Source organism: Homo sapiens, chromosome 4, assembly GCF_000001405.40.
Source record: "Homo sapiens chromosome 4, GRCh38.p14 Primary Assembly".
Classification (NCBI taxonomy): Eukaryota; Metazoa; Chordata; class Mammalia; order Primates; family Hominidae; genus Homo; species Homo sapiens.
The window spans coordinates 28,819,669-28,842,629 of record NC_000004.12 but is presented as its reverse complement, the minus strand read 5'-3'; the positions used below and the strand labels follow the sequence as shown (position 1 = coordinate 28,842,629).

Sequence of the window (22,961 nt, the reverse complement as noted above, 5' to 3'; positions counted from 1 at the left end):
TTTCGAACTCCTGACCTCGTGATCCACCCACCTCAGTCTCTCATAGTGCTGGGATTATAGGCATAAGCCCCCGCGCCAGTACTTAAATCCATTTACTTTCTACTTAAAGGAATTGTTTGTGTTCCCTGCAATCTGGTCAACATTGCCAAGGGGAATGTTGACAGAAGCAGCAGTTACCTTGGTGCTGGTATGCTTCCTCCTGTGGCTGCATCCTACAACTCACTTTGTGGTCACATACCCAGAATACATTTTCACAACATAATTCTTTCGTTTTCCATGTTAATGATCATTTTTTAATTGTAAAAGGCAGTGAATTTAAAAACACTTCTACATGTATTATTTGTTTGATTCTGTCAGAGATCTTATAGAAGATATATCTTTCATTCTATTTTTACAGATGAAGGACTAGAAATTCAGAGAAGCTAAAGTTCTTGAGAAAGTTAACATTTGTATCTAGATTTTCCAACACAAAGTTCAGGCCATTTTTCATTACCCCAAGGAGATGAATTTACTCTGAGCCAAAATTAAATGGAATACAAGACCCAGAATAGGAGCAAATCTACCTCTGTGGTACAGTTAGCTCACCTATAAAATGAAATATTGGAGTGAGTATAATCTCCAAGGTTCATGCAATTCAAAAACCTCTATGAGTAACCTTTCCCTGCTTTTATAGCAGACCAAATATCTTCTTCATTGACAATTTTTTCTTATAAGTTTCATATAAAAGCAATTTGTCATGTAAGTTTCCTATGTATTTCTTCTCTAGCCATTAGACACTGACTTCGTAGTTTTAATTCTCAAAGTCCAAATTATTTGATGATGGGAGTGGATTACTAACTTATTGTAGTCTTCACAAATGCTAGTCAAGTTGGAGAAGGTCACAGAATTAATAACAGAAATTCTATCACAACCAAGCCTCTTGACACTGAGATTAGTGATTTTTTGTAACACCATGCTGTCTATCATATCTATCTAGATAGCTCATCTGTATGTATTACTGGTTAAATTGCTTTCTTCTTCTCAAGATTTTTTTACCCTTCTTCTTTGGTTTTTCGTGTGTGTGTGTGTGTGTGTGTGTGTGTGTGTGTGTGTGTCTGCCATTTGATACCTTTCCGCAAGTAGAAAATTGCCTATAGAACTAAAGTGCAGTTTGGAAAGATAAGATGTCAATTATGTTGGACATTCAGAAATGATGTATGATTGTCCTGAGTTAGAAGACTGTGCAGGATTATTTTTGCTTTCCTCTCATTGGCTAAATAATCTCCCTCTCAGCTTAAATCCCAGTTGTAACAATTAGCTCAAATAATTGTGTGCATAGCATTCTCATTGCACTGAAAGATATATTTCAAATTTTACTTTTAGTGTCACCTCCATTGTGGCTCATATGTTACCATAAAAATGGATTTTGCTTATGTGTGAAATTAGACAGTGTTTCCCAGAAAGGAAAAGCATTTTCCACATGAAATGAAGCTGGGAAATGGGAAAATGTTACCCAACATAGTCTTAAACATTATATTATGCCCAGCAAAAGCTAAGAACTCAGTTACAAACTGCTCATTTTACAAGTGCTTTGCAAATGTCCTAATTTATTGCCATGACATCCACAAGAGAGGTTGGTTAAGTAATCCAGATATTCTAAAATGCTAACAGTGTCAACATCTGCAATCTAAATTTAACAAAAAAGTGTTTTACTGTGTTCAATATATTTTATACTTAGAGAGGTAGAAATATGTTGCTATAAAAAAGTATCTAGGGTAATGAAACTTACGGTGTTTGGGGGTTTGTAAATTATTCAGTGTTAAGCTCTTCTTACAGTATTTACCCTAGCTAGCTTTATAACATAATCTCTCCTGCTATATATCATTCCATCTTCAGTTTCAAAATAAGCTTTTAAAAAATTTTTAATAAAAAACATGAACTTTTAGAAGGGCTTTAATTTTCTAATTTTCTTAAATAAGAGTTATTTATTGCCTTTATTACCCCAACTTAATAACTAATATGAGACTAGTAAATAATGTTGCTACAGTATACATTTACAGCTTTGTTTTTTACATGTTAGCATAACCTATTCTACATATTATACTAAATGCACATAGAAATACAATATATATATCATACATGAACATTGTATATTACACCAAATTTACAATTCAATGCTACATATCATACATATACTAAATGTACAATACAATTTACATTATATTTAAATTCTATTAAAATATGCTAGCCTGGAATTTATTTTATTTTATTTTTATTTTTATTGTTTTTTTCTTGAGAAGGAGTCTCGCTCTGTCGCCAGGCTGGATGTGCAGTGGAGTGATCTCGGCACACTGCAAACTCCACCTCCTGGGTTCGAGCCATACTCCTGCCTCAGCCTCCTGAGTAGCTGGGACTGCAGGCATGAGCCACCACGCCCAGCTAATTTTTTTGTATTTTTTTAGTAGAGACGGGGTTTCACCATGTTGGCCAGGATGGTCTCGATCCCTTGACCTCGTGATCCGCCCGCCTCGGCCTCCCAAAGTGCTGGGATTACAGGCTAGCCTGGAATTTATCAACACCTATGAGGTATCTGTGTTAAATATAATTAAGATGGCACAAGTTTATTGGTGGCATAAATGGAAATTCTTATTTATTAATGATTTCCATGAATAAACAAAGAGTTAATTCTGTTCTGAATATTTCAAGTAGTAGAACACAACTCAGCTTTTCAGTTTTTTATCATTGGGAGTTTAAATTTTTCTTCTTGTAAGAGAAACATTTAGTTTACTACCTTTTTGGATATAATTACCTTAGATTTTACACATTAAGTAATTGTTAAGATTATTTATTTCTGAAAATCCAAGAAAATATAAATGAATTATATGCAAACATTTAAGATTTTGCTTCATAAATATGGTGTTTTAACAGGTAAGAGTTTCTTTTTTAAACACAAATTTTAAAATTATCCACAACCACACTTGACTTGTTTCATATTAAGTTCTAAAAAAATCTCATTATAGCATACTACATGAATGCAATGAGTTTATTCCTTTTCTGTAATGTTCATACTAAGTTTACCACCATATTGACATATAAAAATCTAAATATAGATTTGTATGTTGATTAGTGGTTTCTTCCTTACTGTTTGCTACATATACCATGCCACTTTCCTAAAAATCCTTCAGTCATGTGACATAATTTATTCATCCTTTCAGCATATCTCTATTGGATACCTGTATTTCCCTAAGTAGTTTATCAACAGCTACATGAAGTTTCTTCACTCCCTGACTGATTTCCAGTCCCTTCCTAATCTAAAACCTCTAAATTAACCAACTGTATTTTTTCTCTACTTTCAAACATCTCCCCTTATTGTTTGGTGAATTACAAATATTTTGTTTGTTACCACTGACTTTTTTTCATTCATTTCCTGACTAATCTAAACTTGATTCTCTTATGAGCCACAGCACTTGGAGTGTGTAGATTTGTTCTCACCAAATTCATTTTACATTAGCATATGTGTTAATTATCTACACAAAGCTGGAATAAGAATTACTTGAGGGAAAGGATCATTATTTATTCCAAGTCTTTCTTTCTTTTCCTTCTTAGGTAAGCATACATATTACACCTATATCAATTATATTCAGTTGATTCATGTTTTCTATCATCACGTTCACTGATTAGTTATGACCCACATCATCTCACCAAGATTATGATGGAAGCCTCCCAAATGAGGGCCCTGCTGATTCTCCTATACTGCCAACAGATTCTCATTACACACTCAAACCCCACCACTCCATCATTATCCTCATACCATTCTCTGGAGGGCTCCAGTGTAGAAGATAACTCAAATGCCATCCATATCGGACTCTTCAAACTTCTCTCGTAACTTGCTCTACAGTCTCTTCATTATCTCCACAGAGACACTGGCTAATTCACTGTCTTCAGAACATATCTGGCCCTGTCATGGCTGTGTATGTTTTTCATATTGTTTATTTCAAAACTATGAAGAAAATTTATGAAGAAAACCCAACTTCACACAGATAGGTAGTTGGAAAAGGAACTCCTTAATAGCCTTTTCAGATAATTTTGGATATATTTCTTTGATGTTACACCCAAACTCAATAAGTGATTGTTTCTTAAAGGATAGTTACGATGTGGACTTAAAGCCACATCAGACTCTCTTCCATTCAAATCTGTTGGTCTATTCTGCATTTAGAAAATATTACTTATATATAATCATATTATGCTTTGATCATCTCAAAGATATCAAATAACTTAATTATACAAGTCTTTCCTATTTTGATACAATTCATTATATAATATAAAAAAATCACTTGATTAATATAACCATCCAAATGATCAGAACAATCTCTAGTATTGGAAATCTTCCAAGTTTATTGCAGTAGATATGAGTTATCCAAAATTCTATTTTTAATTTGAAAACTTAAACTTTTTCTTTGGCAGAAAGTAGTCATTTATTCTTAAAGTAACAGACTCCTTGATACATTTTCGAGAAAATATCTGCCAAATTTTCAACTCAGAATAACCAGTTTGTTTTTTAGTCTTTTTTTTTTCAAATTAAAATGCTTTATGACAAATGTGCCACTTAAGCTCACAGCTCAATCACACACAAATTTTTATTAAAGTCACCATTGACCTTACATAGTGCCTCTAGTAACCTATGAGGCACTAGAACTCTATTGTACTTCTCACTTTATCACATTAGCTATCGAAGTTTGAAATTTAATATAATTAATAAGTACTGCTTCACCAATATTATTCTTAAGTGCAACTGGAATAATTATAATTTTACTTAGCAATAGGGTGGCAGTAAAGAATTCAACACTACTAGTACAGTTTAGTACTGAGGAGAAAACAGTGTGGCCACCATTGCTTTTGTATGATCAGTTGAAATGTTAATTATTGAAAAATGGAAATAAGAGCTTAGCATACTAATAAAAATATTTTTGCCTCTGAGAAGGATTTGGGGGATTTATTGACCATACTTGGAGAACTTGTGCTTTACAGCTTAGTATAACTGATTTGTATAAAATTATATATAAATTTATATTTATTTGGTATCTTGATGCTCAATATGAGGGAATAATCAATATATGCTGATTACCAGTACATTACTCATGAATTGATAAAATTGAGTGCATGGGGAAAAAATAAATTCTTCAGGCTTAAGATACATAAAACTCTAATTTTTAGTGAATTTTATGTTCATTTTGTATTAAAGCCTCCTCCTTAGTCAAGGTTATCCATATTTTGACTGTAAGTGGATAACCAAGACAATCAATAATACTCTTTTTTTAGAGAAATTGATTTTATAAATAAATATTATATGTTAAACTCTTAATTCTTAATTCAACACTGCCCCTACATAATTTATTTCAAATATTTTCTGGCACTGGTCTAGTTCTGGGCTTCATAGTATGTTGCACACAGATAATAAAAGTAAGAAATAGTGATCTCTGCAATGAGCCTCATAGTTTCTCAAAATAAAGATGATTAAAGAATATTATGAGAGATAGAGGACTAATTTGTATTTCCTATCCCTCCTTTGATTTCTATTACAATAGAAATGGGTCAGATTCTTTATTCATTCAGCAGTTCACTCATTGTGGCCACTCAGAACCAGATATTGTGCTAGAATAAGGACATGGTATATAATGAAGAGTAAAATTAAAGTGGATCCTGCCACCATGAGGCTTACAGGAATCCAGAGGAACACGTATATAATTCATACGCTATACAGGTTACACATTATAGCAAAAGCTACTAAAGGAAACAATAAGATCTATAAAAGAAAATTAGAGGTGAGATGGATTATAATTTGATTGGGGATCCATGAATGTGTCTTGTTAAAAGTGACATTTTTCAGAGTGTAAGAAGATTTGAGATGGAAGCAAATAGTTTACAATCGTATAACAGACAATGACAGAAAGAAGGAATAACCCATGTAAATACCTTAAGCTAGGGAACATTTTGGCATTTGGAGGAAACAAAAGATGACTGTGCTTGGTCTGGAATGCGTGAGAGAAAATGATCCTATGTTTTGTTGGAGAGGAAGGTGGGGAGAGGACAAGTATACTTTGATGAGGATTATATTGTATCTTCAGTGGACAGTGAGTCGATGAAGGATTTAAAGAAGATGAGGATATAATTCCATACTCATTTTCTTTCCCTTTGTTTTAAGTATTTTACAGGTAGAAAATGTGCAAATCATAAATAGGTTTTCAAAGAGTAAGAATAAAGTAAACATCCCTTTGTAACCTGAACCTATTGCCAGATGCTACTCCTACGCCCTCTTCTTTATCCTTCCTTTCTCCCAGGGTTGATCACTCTCCTTAATTCCAGCCCTTTAGATTAGTTTTGAATCTTCGAAACTTTACATAATAAATCTTATAGTAAATATTGTTGTGCCTGGCTCATTTTACATTATTTTACATGTTACATTTCTGCCTGCAGCAGTGGTTTATTCAATTTATTTCCGTATAATATTCTGCATTCTGACCATAACTCTATTTACTTATTTATTCTATTACTAATGGACATGTGGGTGCATCAGTGTTTGGCTGTAAAGTTAATGCATCCATCAACATTTTTGCACAATTTTTTGTTGTATCAGTGCACATATTTCTGTTGAATATATACAGAGGAAAGAAATTGCTAGACCAAAGGGCATATGTATATTTAAATTTAGTAATAATGAAACAGTTTCCAAAGCTGGTTGTACTCAATTGCACTTCCACTAGCAGTATATAGTAGAAACAGAAATAAATCTACAGTGTGGAAAAAAAAAAAAAAAAACCACACACACACAAAGAAACATGCCTATTGGGATCTTGGCATTGGATGGAAGGAAAAAGAAATCTCTCCTGAGAATTCATACTCACAAACTGGCCCTCATATGGATTTGCAGCTAGTGATCCAAAACTTTCAAGCTGAGAATTTATTTCTAAGTGATCCCATGTAAGTACCTTTGGGCACCAGGCAGAAGCAAATACAAGTACTCTCAAGAGAAATGCTTTTTTCAGCCAGGCCTTACAAAAATCTCACAGATAATCTTCCAGGAGAAATAAAACCACAGTTAAAAAAAAAATCACAAAGCTTACAATAAGAGAAACCATCATGAGCAAGAACTTACAGAAAGAAGAGACAGAAAAGTTAGATTCCCAACGAGTACAGATATTGGAGCTGCAAGTTAAAAAAAAAGTATGTATTGTTTTAGAAAGGTAAATAAAATAATTAAAATATGAATACTTAATATAATATAAAATATAATATCTAAGAATATATGAAAAAGAACCAATTAAATTATAAACCAGGTTATAAAGATGGATGAATTTTATAAATAGAATCACTGAAGCAAAACAGATTCAATATAAAAAAGATAAGCAGTATGGATGATTGAGAATGTATAATATGAATCTGAGCAGGTTTTCAGAAAGACATAAGAGAAAGAAGTGACAATATTCAAAGAGATAATGGCAGAGAATTTTCCTAAACTTAAAAAGAACAATTCTTAGATCCTGAAAACCCAATCAATTGTAAACAGTATAAAAAGGAGAAATCTAAACTTAGACATGTCACAGTGAATCTACATAGAACAAACAGCCAATGAAATATATTGAAATTAAGATAAATTGACCATAAAGGAGCCATGATGAAACTAAAAACTGACTTCCCAATAGCTACAATAGGTGTTTGATGGAGGCAACATCATTTCATATACAGTGTGTCACCCAGTGATTATCTAAAATCACTATAAATTTATATTAAGCCCGAGCCATATAAATTTGTATTAAGCCATCAAGCTTGGGCTTAATACGAATTTCACCTTTAATAAGAGTATTAAACGGTTTAATACTTGGACTTTAATAGTAGTATTAAACTGTTTAATACTATTAAGCTTGGGCCTAATACAAATAGAAATTTATAGTGTTTTGTTTTTGTTTTGTTACTACCAACGAACCATCATTATGAGTATATTTTAGGATATACTATGGAGAGAAGGAAACAAATCTCAGATAGAAAGTTGCTTGACATGCAAAATGAGGTTATGAGTTAAGATACTGGTAAACACATTGATATATATAAACAAGTATTTTCTGAATGAAACAAAAATAACATCATATTTGAGGAGTGTATTAGTTTCCTTGTGTTACTATATTGAATTACAATGGGCAGGGTGGTTTTATAAAACAGTAATTTATTCTCTTATGTTTCTGGAGGTTAGAAATTTCAAATCGAGTTGTCAACAGGGCCTAGATATCTCTGAAGATCCCAGGGGAGTGTCTGTTCCATGCTTGTGTGTCAGCCAGCCATCCTTGGCTTTCCTTGACTTGAAATGTGTCACTCAAGTCTCTGCTTCTTCACTGTTGTTTGAATCTCTTCTCATAAAGACACCAGCCATACTAATTTTAGGGCCCTCCTCACTCCCGTATAGACCCATTGTAACTTGATTATATCTGCAAAGACCCAATATCCAAATAAGATCGCATTTATAAGTACTGAAAATTTGAATTTAAACATATTTTTTCAGAAGACAAAATTAACACACAACAACAGGTTAAAAAAAATTACTAAAATCTAAACAATGCTTAGAAAGAAGAGGGAGGGGGTGAATAGTATTGAACTGTTCTTATGGGTTTTTTCTTTCAATGTTCTGGGGAAGAATAATGATATTAACTTTAGACTATTTTTAAACATATATGATAGAAATATTATTTGTATATATTCATTATTTAATGAAAGATTAAAATTAATCTTTGGGCCATGTCTATGTTCCTATAAGAATAGAAGAGTTCTTAGCAGAGTTCCAAAAACATAAGCCAACAAACGAAAACTCTAGATTTTTAAAAATATATCCATGTGACAAAAATTAGAGTTAGGTTTTTATTTCTTGTATTTTAGAAGTAAGGAGCATCATTTTATAGTTGTGGTGTCACATATCAAGGTTCTTAAAGAAATAAGATTAAGAGAATGAAAAAAAAGTGACTGCTAATGGCAAAGCAAAAAACTACACATAAATCAAAGTGAGATAAGTCTCCTTTCTATCTCTCTTTTATCATGACTCAGGTACTGTCATTATAAGGAGCAGATAGAAATTTAAGAAATACTTTTTCACAAAGAATTTTTAATAAGGGAATTTTTAAAAATCAGATTTTCAGAGTTTTATTTCTATGAGCCATGTATTAGAAAAAGAAAAATGACTGTTTCACAGAATTGTTCTACTTAATGACATTTGTATCCATGGAATTTTATATGTGATTCAAGTAATCAAACAAGTAAAAACTTTCTTTTTGATAATTTAACCTGAACTCTACAACCTCTGTTTCACTTACCTAGCTTTACATAGCCAAATATTAAAGCCATGTGGATTCCAATAATAACCTATTCTCTAACTTGAGACAGCTGAAGCAAGCTTATTTGCTATTTTTACCTGCTAATTACCTATTTGCAGAAGAATTTTAAAATGCTACCCTGATCTATGTCCTTATTTCCTTATGTTACATGCAATTCCCTGTTACTTTGTTTAAATAGGTTATCTCTTTAACAGTAATTGTCTAGAAGTGAGATTTGCAGTCTGTTGGGTCACCTTTACCTATAACCAGTTATTCTAAAAACAGAACATGACAGGCCTTATGTGATAGGAAACATTCTATAAAGTTCAGGGACTATATTTCACATATACCAATTATCAAGGGACCAGACTAGAAACTGTGCTATTTTGTAAAACCTTCGTAAAACTATTTGCTACCATGTATAGATAGGTTCTCATGTGTACAGAGGAGTTACTTTTATCATATATTATTTGTGGTTGCTCTCATTCGTCCTGTCAGAAATGACAATATTTGTTCTGCAGATAGGTTAGGGAGGAGAACAGGCTGGAAAAGTCTAGATATTTCTTTGATAGCAATTAGAAGCTGCTAGATGCTTCAAGTGCCTGGAGATAAATAAAACTACTGTAATTGCAGAGCCATTTTTAGAACTGCACATCCACTGAGACATTTTGACCTGCAGCTATAAACTACTAGTCAGTACTTGAACTGTTTGTATCAGTTAATTAGAAAATGAATATGTAACTGAATGGATTAATTCAACAACCTACACAAGCACAGCAATAGTATCTCAATACCTCAAAGCTCTACTATTTTCTTTTGTTTCTCCTTTTTTTTCTTCTTTCATTAATAACCACTCCATATGTTAATTTTTCAGTATAAACTTTCCAATAAACATAAGATGTTGTCATTTTTCGCATTAATTGATATTAACAAAGCATTTTATTCACAATTCTTGAACACAGTTTGTATGATGCTCATCTACGAAGTCATTTATTCCCGAGCAAGGAGTGACTTGGATATTCATTTATTTATTTATGCCACAAATATTTTCTTGAATATTTATTATGTAACAATCAGTATGATAGGTAATGTGAATGAAGTAGAGAACAGGATCACTGGCTCAGAAAGCTGAGTCTAGGCAGGGCCAGTATGGAACATATCAAAATGAACATCAAACATGTGAAATAATGACAGATTTTGATTTGTACTTTCATGGAAATTACAAACGCTGACATGACAGGAAATAACAAGTGAGCCTACTACAGATCGGGTGGTTGGAAAAGGCCTCCAAATGAAGTGTTTGCTAAAAGAACGATCTTGAGTCAGTCATGCCAGAAAAGTGAACAGCAAAACCAAGGTGGTGAAATATGAAAAATATACCATCCCTCATGCATTATCTCTCAGTTTAAACTGGTAAATGTGCTTGTTGCAATTCTGTGGAAAAAAGTAATGTAGAATTAGATATGATTAGAAAAGAGTCTGGAGACAGATAAGTAGGACTTCTTTAGCTACAAGAAGGGTTTTTAATTTGATTCTGCATACTATAGAAAACAATGGAGTAACTTTAAGCCAGTGAGTTACGTACTCTAATTTACATTATAAAAATAGGATATAGTTTGCCATGTGAAGAGTGGATTTTTTTCTCGAAAAGGACAAATTGGGAAATCAATTAATTAGTTAAATTTTTTTTATTAGGATAGTGATAATAGAGATGGAGAGGGGGGCAAACCCTAGATTTTGTCTTAAGAAACTAGTTGAATAGAATGCCTTTTCCTAAAATGAACATCTTGGGCAAGAACAAGATTAAGGGGAAAATTGTGATTTCTGTTTTAAATATGCAAAGTTTGAGATACTTAAGATATATTCAAGTAGATGTGTCAAGCAAGCTGTTGTAAATATATGCCTGGAACTCAGAAAATATGTCTGGGCTAAAAAATGTATATTTGGAGATGTTGTCTCACAGGTGGTGTTTAAAGTCATGGAGATTGATGAGATCTCTTAAGCAGAGGAATTTCAAGGTTTAGATTACGTCAGGAATGGAGCCTGTGAAAGAGGGAGAATCCAACAAGAAAGAACAAACACAAGGAAGCTGTTATATAAAGAAGTAGAAGGGTTGTTTCCAGAGAAATAAATGATCTAGTTATTGGATATCACTGACACAGCAAGCAAAATGAGAAACTGAAATCACCTAGAAGATTTGACTTCATGCAGGACATCCGTAGTGTCGACAAGAGCAGAGTTTAGACAATCACTTGGTAGGTTCTGAATTACTGGGAGAGATTCAGTCAGGGCAACCAACAGTAGACTTCACTCAATTCATATAAGAAAATACATACATGTCATTCAATCTATTAGAATATCATGGCGAGTCTCTTCCTAATGGCACACGTTACAAAAAAGAATTTGTTTGTATTGGTATTAAAGTGATCATCCACTCAGTAAGGGAACTCGGACCATCAGAGGTGTTCCTTCCAATTTAGAACACCCTTCCACACATTACAGTCAGTCAGATTCTGGTTGGAAAGCGCTTTTGTCTAATTATCCTATTTTCCATAAATAATTCTACTCAGAGTAATATGGCACAAGATTATATCAGTTGTGTGGTTGATACTCCCAGACCACTTGGAAAAGTACTGGTAATAGAAATAGGACAAAAATTATTTTATAAAAACCAATATTCACAGATATATCAGTAGAAATTATTAACAGTTAAGAATTTTTTTTAAATCAGTGATTATGCTTAAAGGCAGTTTAAAAACAAAAGACGTATTTTTGCATTTTCATAACCAGGTGTGATGAAAATTTTTTATGTTAATGTATTATTTCACATGGGTATATTCAATCTATTTACAGTGCTTTTTTTTTTTTTAAAGGAACTTTTACTCTTTTTGCCCAGACTGGACTGCAATGGCCTGATCTCGGCTCACTGCAACCTCCGCCTCCTGGGTTGAAGTGATTCTCCTGCCCCAGGCTCCTGAATAGCTGGGATTACAGGCGCGCGCCACCACACGTGGCTAATTTTGTATTTTTAGTGGAGACAGGGTTTCACCATGTTGGTGAGGCAGGTCTCAAACTTCTGACCTCAGGTGATCCGCCCGCCTCAGCCTCCCAAAGTGCTGGGATTATAGGCGTGAGCCACTGCGCCCAGCCTATTTACTGTTTTAATAGTTTCTTGCCACTCCTTTCTGGTGAAAGCTCTGACCCCTCCTTATTCTGCTAGAGATTTCAGAGGTCATCACTTTCTTTTGAAAATGTCAAAGTGGAGCTACATTATGGTTACATTCTTTGATTGTGACGGAGTTTCACTCTTGTTGCCCACACTGGAGTGCAATGGTGAGATTTCAGCCCACTGCAACCTCCACCTCCCGGGTTGAATTGATACTCCTGCTTCAGCCTCTAGAGTAGCTGGGATTACAGGCTCACACCACCACCTATTTTTAGTAGAGACACGGTTTCACCATATTGGCCAGGCTGGTCTCAAACTCCGGACCTCAGGTGATCCACCTGCCTCCACCTCCCAAAGCACTGGGATCACAGGTGTGAGCCACCATGCCCAGCCATGGTTACATTCTTTTTTTTTTTTTTAATTTGCTAAGGCCAGTGTTGAAGTTAAGAATCATATTCACCCACGGGAAGGGTTATAAGAACTTTGAAATGGTGGGAGATGCTGGGTTTCAAAGCGTAACTTTTAAATTACCAAAGCTTTAATTTATATTTAAATTCAACACCTGTCTCAAAAACTATTTAAAAGGCATATTTTGTCATATTTTCCCAACTGGAGCCTATTTAAAAGACAAAATTCTTTTTTCTTAGCTATTCAACTACTTTTCCGCAATTTTATTGAGGTATAGTTGACAAATAAAAATTGTATATATTCAATGTGTACAATATTGTGTCCGGAATTGGTGGGTTCTTGGTCGCATTGACTTCAAGAATGAAGCCGGGGACCCTTGCGGTGAGTGTTACTCTTCTTAAAGCTGATGCGTCTGGAGTTTGTTCCTTTCGATATTCAGACGTGTTTGGAATTTCATCTTTCTGGTGGGTTCGTGGTCTCGCTCGCTTCAGTAGTGAAGCTGCAGACCTTCACAGTCAGTGTTATAGCTCTTTAGGCAGCACATCTGGAGTTGTTCGTTCCTCCCGTGGCTTCGTGGTCTTGCTGGCCTCAGGAGTGAAACTGCAGACTTTCCTGGTGAGTGTTACAGCTCATAAAGGCAATGCACACCCTAAGAATGAGCAGCAGCAAGATTTTTTGCAAACAGCAGAAGACCGAAGTCCTCACAGTGTGGAAAGGAACCTGAGCGGGATGCTACTGCTGGCTCCGGTAGCCTGCTTTTATTCCCTTATCTGGCCCCACCCACATCCTGCTGATTGGTCCATTTTACAGAGACCTGATTGGTCTGTTTTACAGAGAGCTGATTGGTCCATTTTGACAGGGTGGTGATTGGTACGCTTACAATCCCTAAGCTAGACACGAAAGTTCTCCAAATCCCCACTAGATTAGCTAGACACAGAGCACTGATCACTGATTGCTGCAATCACAAACCCTGAGCTAGACACAGGGTGCTGATTGGTTTCTTTACAAACCTTGAGCTAGACACAGAGTGCTGATTGGTGCATTCACAATCCCTTAGCTAGACATAAAAGTTCTCCAAGTCACACCAGATTAGCTAGACACAGAGTGCTGATTGGTGCATTTACAAACCTTGAGCTAGACACAGGGTGCTGATTGGTGTGTTCACAAACCCTGAGCTAGATACAGAGTGCTGATTGGTATATTTACAATCCCTTAGCTAGACATAAAGGCTCTCTAAGTCCCCACTAGACTCAGGAGCCCAGCTGGCTTCACCTAGTGGATCCTGCACTGGGGCCACAGGTGGAGCTGCCCGCCAGTCCCGGGCGCCATGCGACTGCACTCCTCAGCCCTTGGGTGGTGGAATGGATGGGGCGCAGTGGGGAGGGGGGATCGAGGAGGTGGGAGGGGGGAAGGGTGGGGGAGAGAGGAGCCGCGGGGAGGCGGGGGTGGAGGATCAGGCATGGCGGCCTGCGGGTCTGGAGCCCTTCCTGGCGGGGAGGCAGCTGATTCCAGGCGAGAATTCGAATGGGGTGCAGGCGGGCCGGCAGTGCTGGGGAACCCGGCGCACCCTCGGCAGCTGCTGACCTGGGTGCTAAGCCCCTCACTGCCCAGGGCTGGCAGGGCCGGTCAGCAGCTCCGAGTGTGGGGTCTGCTGAGCCCACGTCCACCTGGAACTTGCGGTGGCTAGCAAGCCCGTGGGCAGCCCCGGTTCCCGCCCACGCGTCTCCCTCCACACCTCCCTGCAAGCTGAGGGAGCCGGCTCCAGCCTCGGCCAGCCCAGAAAGGGGCTCCCAGAGTGCAGCAGCAGACTGAAGGGCTCCTCAAGTGCGGCCAGAGTGGGCGCCGAGGCCAAGGATGTGCCGAGATTGAGCGAGGGCTGAGAGGGCTGCCAGCACGCTGTCACCTCTCAATATGATTATTTAATATACATATACATTGTAAAATAATTATCAGAATCAAATTAACAGTTCCAATATCACACTTAGTTACCATTTGTTCTTCTGTGTTTGTGTGTGTAAGTGTGTGGTGAGGATACTGAAAATCTATTCTCAGCAGATTTCAAGTAACAATATAAGATTATTAACTGTAGTCATCATGTTGTTAGATTTACAGAACTTATTCATCTTAAAACATTGTTTGTACCCTTTGGCCTTGGACTAATATCTCCCATTTACCCTCTCCGCGGGACCTTGGCAACCACCATTCTACTCTTTGGTTCTATGAGTTCGACATTTTTTAGATTCCAAAGTAAGTGAGATTATACAACGTTTGTTTTTCTGTATCTGATTTATTTTACTTTGCATAATGGTCTCCAGATTCATCTTTTTTGTCACAATGGCAAGATTTCCTTCTTTTTAATGGCTGAATAGTAATGCATTATGTGTATGTAGCACATTTTCTTTATATGTTCAACCACTGATGGACGCTTAAGTAGTTTCCATATCTTAGTTATCATAACTAATACTGCAATGAATATGTGGATGCAGCTATCTCTTTAAGGTAATGATTTTGTTTCCTTTGGATATATACACCTTGATATCTTAGAAGTAGGGTCACTGAATGTATGGTAGTTCTATTAATAATTGTTTTTGGTTTCTGGGGACTGTTTTTGGATGCCTCTCATGTATTTTAAATCTTAGTATTCCGAGTTTTTTTTATATCATGCTTGTCATGTAATAGATGATTAATAAATATTTTCTTGAAATTTAAATGACAGTCTCTCAGAAATTGGTAAACCTACTCATTTAGAACATTTTCTTTTTCTTTTATTTTTTCCTCTTTCTTTCCTTTTTTGTGCTGATGCTTTTTGACTATTATGTAAAATTGCTAATTTGAAAATTTAAAAAAACTTATATTGTATTAATTTCCCCCTCAAAATTAATTATGTGCTTTATTTCCAAATGAGATTATTGAATTTAAACTCAAGAAGGTAAAGTAGAGTAATTAAGTTAACCCAGTTGTTAAGTGGTCATGTCTGCAAAGAACCTAAGATTTCAACAAGTACTTAAATGTTGCACAAGTGATGTCAAATGCATATATTTTGCATCAAACTGCTTCAATTGCGTTGTATACCATGACCCCATGATGCAATCATTAATCTTAGCTAGTAGTGCTGCAAAACAAGTTATTTATTTGAAGAAAAGTTAAAGGATCTGGTGAAGCCTTGAAAATTACTTGTATCTGAGACTTTAATACGTTTTTTTAATTACTTATTTTCTACTCTTTGTACAAAAGTATGACTTTTTAATAATATGTATGTTTATGGAGCATTATATAATCACATTATTGGAAATATATTTTCATGATCATCACCACCTAAAAACACAAAATTACAAAGGCATTGGAAATTTAAAAAACCTAGCTCAATGTATGAGGAAGAACTAATGCTAAAACATAGTTTTCATTTACACAAAATTGTTACTATTAATAAATTGCTATTGATTAATATTTATTAATAAATAGTTTTTAATGACATTTAAAGTAAGGCTTAAATGTTTCAGAAATAAAATGTGGCCTATCTTGATAAAGGACAAAGGTGCACTTGAAATGAATGTTGTTCTCTTGGTTAAATGGTTCTATAAATATCAACTGTTCAAGTTGGCTGTACATAAGTTAAAATACACTAGACTCCCTAGATTCATGTCCAGTTCTGCTGTTTATTAAGTCTAAAGAGAATTCATTCTAATTCTCCTAGTCCTAGTTAAGCTTCTCCCTTTTAAAACTTGGGAATTTAATAACTCAATTCACAGTATTGTTGTAAGCATTGTTGTTTTAAAAACATTTAAGTCTAAAGCATCACACAAAAAGAACCTCTTATGAGTCTTCTAAAATAACAAAACTGAGTTACTCTGTAACTCTAACATAAACCTAAACATGATAATTTTTACGTTGATAATCACATTGTTCAATCTGCTTGGGTCTATCAAACTGACAGTTGCACCTATTTTCATTTTCCCATCTGTAAATTCAGAGTGGATTTGGCTTCCAAAGAGCTGCCCCACTTCTGAGCATTATTATCCCAACTTGAAGAATCTGTAATCTACTGAATTTGGAGAACATGCTCATCTCTGTGCTGTACAATGCCTCATAAGCATACATGGCATAAAGGAGAGGGGGCATGGTATAATGGAAGGGGTACTAGGGGAGAAATCAGGACAATGAATTCAAATTTCAGATCTTTCACTAGTTAGTGTGGGACCTTTGAGGAAGACTAATGGTGTTGAGCATCACGATCAATGGTATGACATAAAACTATTTCTGATGATAATTGCCCCATAGACGAGGTCTTGGAAGGTTATTTATTGTACTTGAAATACTGCTTTTTTTTTTAATCCACAAATTACTCCCTCCTAACCATGAAATCATTAACTGTGATAATATAAATAATGCATCTAATATAATGCCTAGCAGATATTTATGCCAATTAAATGTTTTCCTACTTTTTCTTGCTTTTCCTCTTCCCTTTTTCCTTTTTTACTCTTTCTTTCTCCCCCTCCCCAACTTTTTTTCCTCCCTTATTTTTTTCTTCTTTCCCTTTTCCGCTATTTGTAAAACTAGTATATTGAACTGTCAGATCTCTGAAGTTCTTTGCAGTTCATTGACTCCATAATAAGATAGGAATGCATACTGAGACCTTATTGTTCTAATCATCTCTGAGATTTTACATAGTCGTGTCATGGGTGTTGTTGTATCCTCTGTTTTGAAATATAATCTCCTTTGCCTTGGTATCAGCAACAATTTAAAAGAGCTAAAATAATGAACTTGAAAATTTGGCACTTTTCCTGTACCTAGAGCAGATCAAAAATACTGAGATGAACAGTTTTGGTCAAATTCCCAGATAAGAAGCCTGATTCAAAGAGGTCAAAGGGAAATTAGAGAAGTCTAATATTATAACAACAAAGCCCTTCTGTAGGACTTTCTCTTTGCTAAGGTTATAGGCAGGAAATAGGTGGTTAACAAGTCAAGCTGAAGAATACCATTTGCCTCATTATTATTTCTACCAATTATAATTGTCAAAGTGTATGAAATGCAAAGCAAAATTTATTTCGGATTTTCTATGCAACTCTGAGCCAGATTTTCTCCATCTAAAACGTCCTGCAAATATATGAGTCAGTTGTCAGAAGTTATATGAACTCTCACAGCTTTAAGACAGTATTCTTAACACCTTGAATATAGAAGAATTATACAACTAAAAGGGTCATTAATTTCTTGAATAAGTAAAATCTTTATCATAATTTTCAGAAAAGAGGTGTTATAGCTTAAATATCTGATTGTGAATCGCAGCTTAGCTACTTATTGCCTGTCATCTTGCCAAACCACTTATGGTTCTACACATCAGTTCTATTCACTATAAAATAAGAAAAGAGTCGTATCACCTGTTTTTGTTACAAGAAGAGTATGAATTAGGTCAGACACAAATAAAGCGCATAAGACAAAACTAAGAAAACACTTGATAGGAAACAATTTTTAAAATGGAATTATTGCACAACCTGTTTCTCCCAAACATGGGGTCCTGTAGCCCAGGTCTTACCCAAATCAGGATGAGGTAGTGGGGGGTCCAGGTGGGGCTGTTGGCCGTGACCCTGCTTGCTGCGTACCTGCACATCCCAACTCTTCAGCTGTCCCCTACCCTTCACTCATAGAAGTCTTCAGTAAAGTTTTTCACTTACAAGGGACTGCGTATCTTCTACCAAGACATTGTGGGTGTGGTTGGAAGTCCGGAGATAGTTGTGCTTTTACATGGCTTTCCAACATCCAGCTACGATTGGTACAAGATTTGGGAAGTCTGACCTTGAGGTCTTATCGAGTGATTGCCCTTGATTTCTTAGGCTTTGGCTTCAGTGACAAACAGAGACCACATCACTATTCCATATTTGAGCAGGCCAGCATCGTGGAAGCTCTTTGGGGCATCTGGGGCTCCAGAACCGCAGGATCAACCTTTAGTCTTATGACTATGGAGATACCGTTGCTCAGGAACTTCTCTACAGGCACAAGCAGAATCTGTCTGGTCGGCTTACCATAAAGAGTCTCTGTCTGTCAAATGGAGGTATCTTTCCTGAGACTCACCATCCACTCCTCTAGAAGCCACTCAAAGATGGACGTGTGCTGTCACCCGTCCTCACGCAGCTGATGAACTCTGTATTCTCTCGAAGTCTCATCCCAGTCTGTGGGCCGTATACTCGGCACTCTGAGACTGAGCTATGGGACATGTGGGCAGGGATCCGCAACAACGATGGGAACTTAGTCATTGACAGTCTGTTACAGTACATCAATCGGAGGAAGAAGTTTAGAAGGCACTGGGTGGGAGCTCTTGCCTCTGTAACTATCCCCATTCATTTTATCTATGGGCCATTGGATCCTGTGAACCCCTATCCAGGGTTTTTGGAGCTGTACAGGAAAATGCTGCTGTGGTCCACATTAGCCACGATCTACAGCTAGAGGATCCCATGGGCTTCTTTGGGCTTCATCAACTCCTTCTGAGCTGGAAAGAGTAACTTCCCTGTATTACCTCCCCTACTCCCTTATCTGTTGTGTATTCCACTTAGGAAGAAATGCCCAAAAGAGATCCTGGCCTTCAAACACTATTCTCTCACAAATCCACTTTACTCAAATCGGTGAACAGTATATAGGAATAAGCCAGCAGAAACTCTGACTAAGGTTGACATAATAGTCCACTTCCCATTACTTTGATATCTTATCAATGTATGGACTGGGCTTTGTTTTTGTGTTATTAGGAAATTCTGATGAGCATTACTATTCACTGATGTAGAAAGACATTTTTTTGCATAAAAGACTTTTTAAGACTTTGGACTTCTCTGAAGTATTTAGAACTGTTCATTTCTGGCCCAGCCCCAACAGGAATTCTACAGTAACAATGAAGAGAAGGGCACCTCCTTCCCTGTCCTTGAATGGCTTTATGGGCACATGCTTTTTAAAAGTTCCTTAAGCAACAGAGCTGAGTTCCCTTTGTCATACCTTTGGATTTAGTTTCATCAGCTGTTTTTAATTATAAACATTTTGTTAAAATAGATATTGGTTTAAATAAAATAGTATTCTATGTATGATTTAAGACTGTGATTTACCTACACATTACATATATTTTATAAGGATATTAAACCAGTGTACCCTTACTCTGCCAGATTAGTGAACCTAATTAAACATGTTTGATTTCTGAATAAATTGACCTAAACCCAAACTATTTACAGAATTTCCTAAAATCACAGGACATTAAGGACCAATAGCATCTGTGCCAGAGATTTACTGTTATTAGCTAAGAAGAGCAATTCTAACAGCAAATAACAGTCTGAGATTCCTCACACCTCAGGGCTTAGGAGCATGTCTCTCTTGAGCTACCATAGAGGGGAAGGGATTGTTTTGTAGTGAAGTCACCATGCTGAATGTACACTGATTCCTTTGTGATGGCTGCTTACCTCCCCAGTGCCTGTCCCAGGGAGGCTTTCCAATGTAACTCAGTAATTCCTGTACTTTATAGGCAGGAAAGTTCCAGAAACTTTAAGAACAAATTCTGAAGGATCTATGAGCAAATGGTGCTGAATACTACTTTTTAAAATCCACATTTCATTGCCTTTCAAAGCAGGATTATTAAGTGATTATTTAAAATTTGTTTTATTTAAATTAGCAACTTCAAGCATAACAACTTTGAAACTGGAATAAGTGTTTATTTTCTATTAATAAAAATGAACTGTGGCAAAAAATTAAATTATTGGCTCTTTATTTGATCAGAAAAAGGAATCTCAGACAGGATAGGTGACTTGCTGAAAGTGACACAAGTTCTTAGTGGTCTTTTAACTATTATGTAAGTCACAATTCAGGGCTCTTTACTGATAATTAATAGATAAAAGGACATGAACAGTTAGATCTTTGTCATTATGATATCATCTTAAAAACAGTAGGGCTGCTTAAGTGTTTCTGATTGTAAAGCTTAAGTAGCTGTTTATTTAAAAATTTTAAAAGTTAAATTATGTTACAGAATCAAATTATGGTTTTTGCTTAAGGAATACAATAAGGAACATCACATGTATTTTGTGAGCCATCAGTATCAGAATCTCCTCGAGTACTTTGTAGAAGTGTCATTTCCAAGATATCTCTCATGTACAATCTGAGACAGAATGTTTGAATTGGAGCTAATTATTTCTACGATTTACCTACCACCAGAAATCCCCATTACTATGAATGCTTGAATGTTCCTGATCTAATGTTCAAATGCAAAGTTATAGACTTGAGTTTAAATTCTGGTACCCCCACATTAAAATTATAGAATGTTGGTCAAATTAATTTCCTTTCCTCATTTGTGAAAAAGAGACAATGTAAGTACCTTCCTCATGGAGTTACTGCAGAATGAAATGAGTTAATACATATAAAGAGTTTGGCACATTCAAATAATAGAATGTGGAGTTTGGAAGAGACTGTGGAGGTGATTTCCACATACTTTGACCGTCTTAATTGCAAATCATTGAATTAGATTGTGATGTCTCTAAAGACAGCATCAGATTCATGACTCTGTCTCAAAAATCTAGAAAAAAGAGGCAGTTCAGAAGTCTGTTAATAGTATATAGATTTTTCAATATTTATTCTAATCTGTTATCCTCAGATCCAATCCCTAGGGCTGTAATGTTTCTAGATTTCTGAAATTAATGCAGATTACCCTCATTCAGTACAAGTACCAAAGATTATTTGATATAAATTTTCCTCCTGTATATGTATTTTCCAATGGATATTCAATAGAAAGTTAATTTTATAAGAAGCTTCATACTCAAAAATGTTGAATAATGCCACATCCTTTATACAGTCTCAGAAATATACCATTCATATTAAAAGCTACAAGAAATCCTATAGCAAAAAAAAAAATTTTGATTTACTTCTTTAACTCAGGATTTCTGAAAATTACTTGGTAAAGGAACATTTTCACTGCATAATATCTAACAACATTTTTTAGTATAAGTGATCATCTCTGGTCACTCTTTTGTTCATATAATGTTTAAAAACTATTCTTTGTTCCTCAGTCATTTTTGTATTTAGAAAAGCTGACAATGAAGTTGTGATCTAGTGCAGAAGCATGTCTAGCTTCAAATCCTGATGCCTCACTTAGTAGCTAAGTTATGTTAGGCAAGCTAATCCAACTTTCAGGACCTCTAATTTTCACATCTGCAAAATGGAGCCAATATTTGCTTTGAAGTATTTTTGTGAGTATTCTATTCTATGATATACATAAAGTAGTTATTCCAGTCTAGGAGTTATAAAAATGGCCTATTAATTTCCTTCTGTGTTGATCTCATTGTTGCCTGGAATTACAACAGCAATGTAAAACATCCTAATTATGCTTTCATAATAGCTTCCTTCCTTCTTTCCTCCATTCCTTCCTTCCTTCCTTCCTTCCTTATTTCTTTCTTTCTTTCTTTTTTTGAGACGGATTTTCACTCTTGTTTGTTGCCCAGGCTGGAGTGCAATGGCGCAATCTCAGCTCACTGCAACCTCCGCCTCCCAGGTTCAAGCGATTCTCCTGCCTCAGCCTCCTGAGCTGCTGCGATTACAGGCTTGCACCACCACACCAGGCTAATTTTTTTTTTTTTTTTTTTTTAGTAGAGATAGGGTTTCTCCATGTTGGTCAGGCTGGTCTTGAACTCCCGACCTCAGGTGATTCACCCGCCTGAGCTTCCCAAAGTGCTGGGATTACAAGCATGAGTCACCACACCCTGGCTTATAATAGTTTCAAATCACCCCTTTATCTTTAAATAATTTCACTTATCAAATAAAATAGACTTTTTCTGACAGTGAGAATGAGACAGGCCATGCATAATCACTCAGAGGGAGAGAGAGATTAACTAATGAAGTATTAGAATCCAAAACTCTTAGTCCAACATAGGGCCTTTTCCAGTTATATCCTTATATTTGTCACTGCTTTATCTTCTGCTATGGCTGATATCAATGTCTGCTAAATTCTATGTCAGGTGTTAGAGGGAAATGAAAGCCAAGGTCAGAAAAAAACATGCATTTTGTATGTGTTTTGTTCCTTTGAAGCGAAATGTGACCTGGTT

General features: G+C 35.7%; 1 pseudogene; it reads left to right on the top strand.

Moving 5' to 3' along the window:
- MESTP3 (mesoderm specific transcript pseudogene 3) lies at window positions 18,388-19,581 on the top strand (annotated as a pseudogene).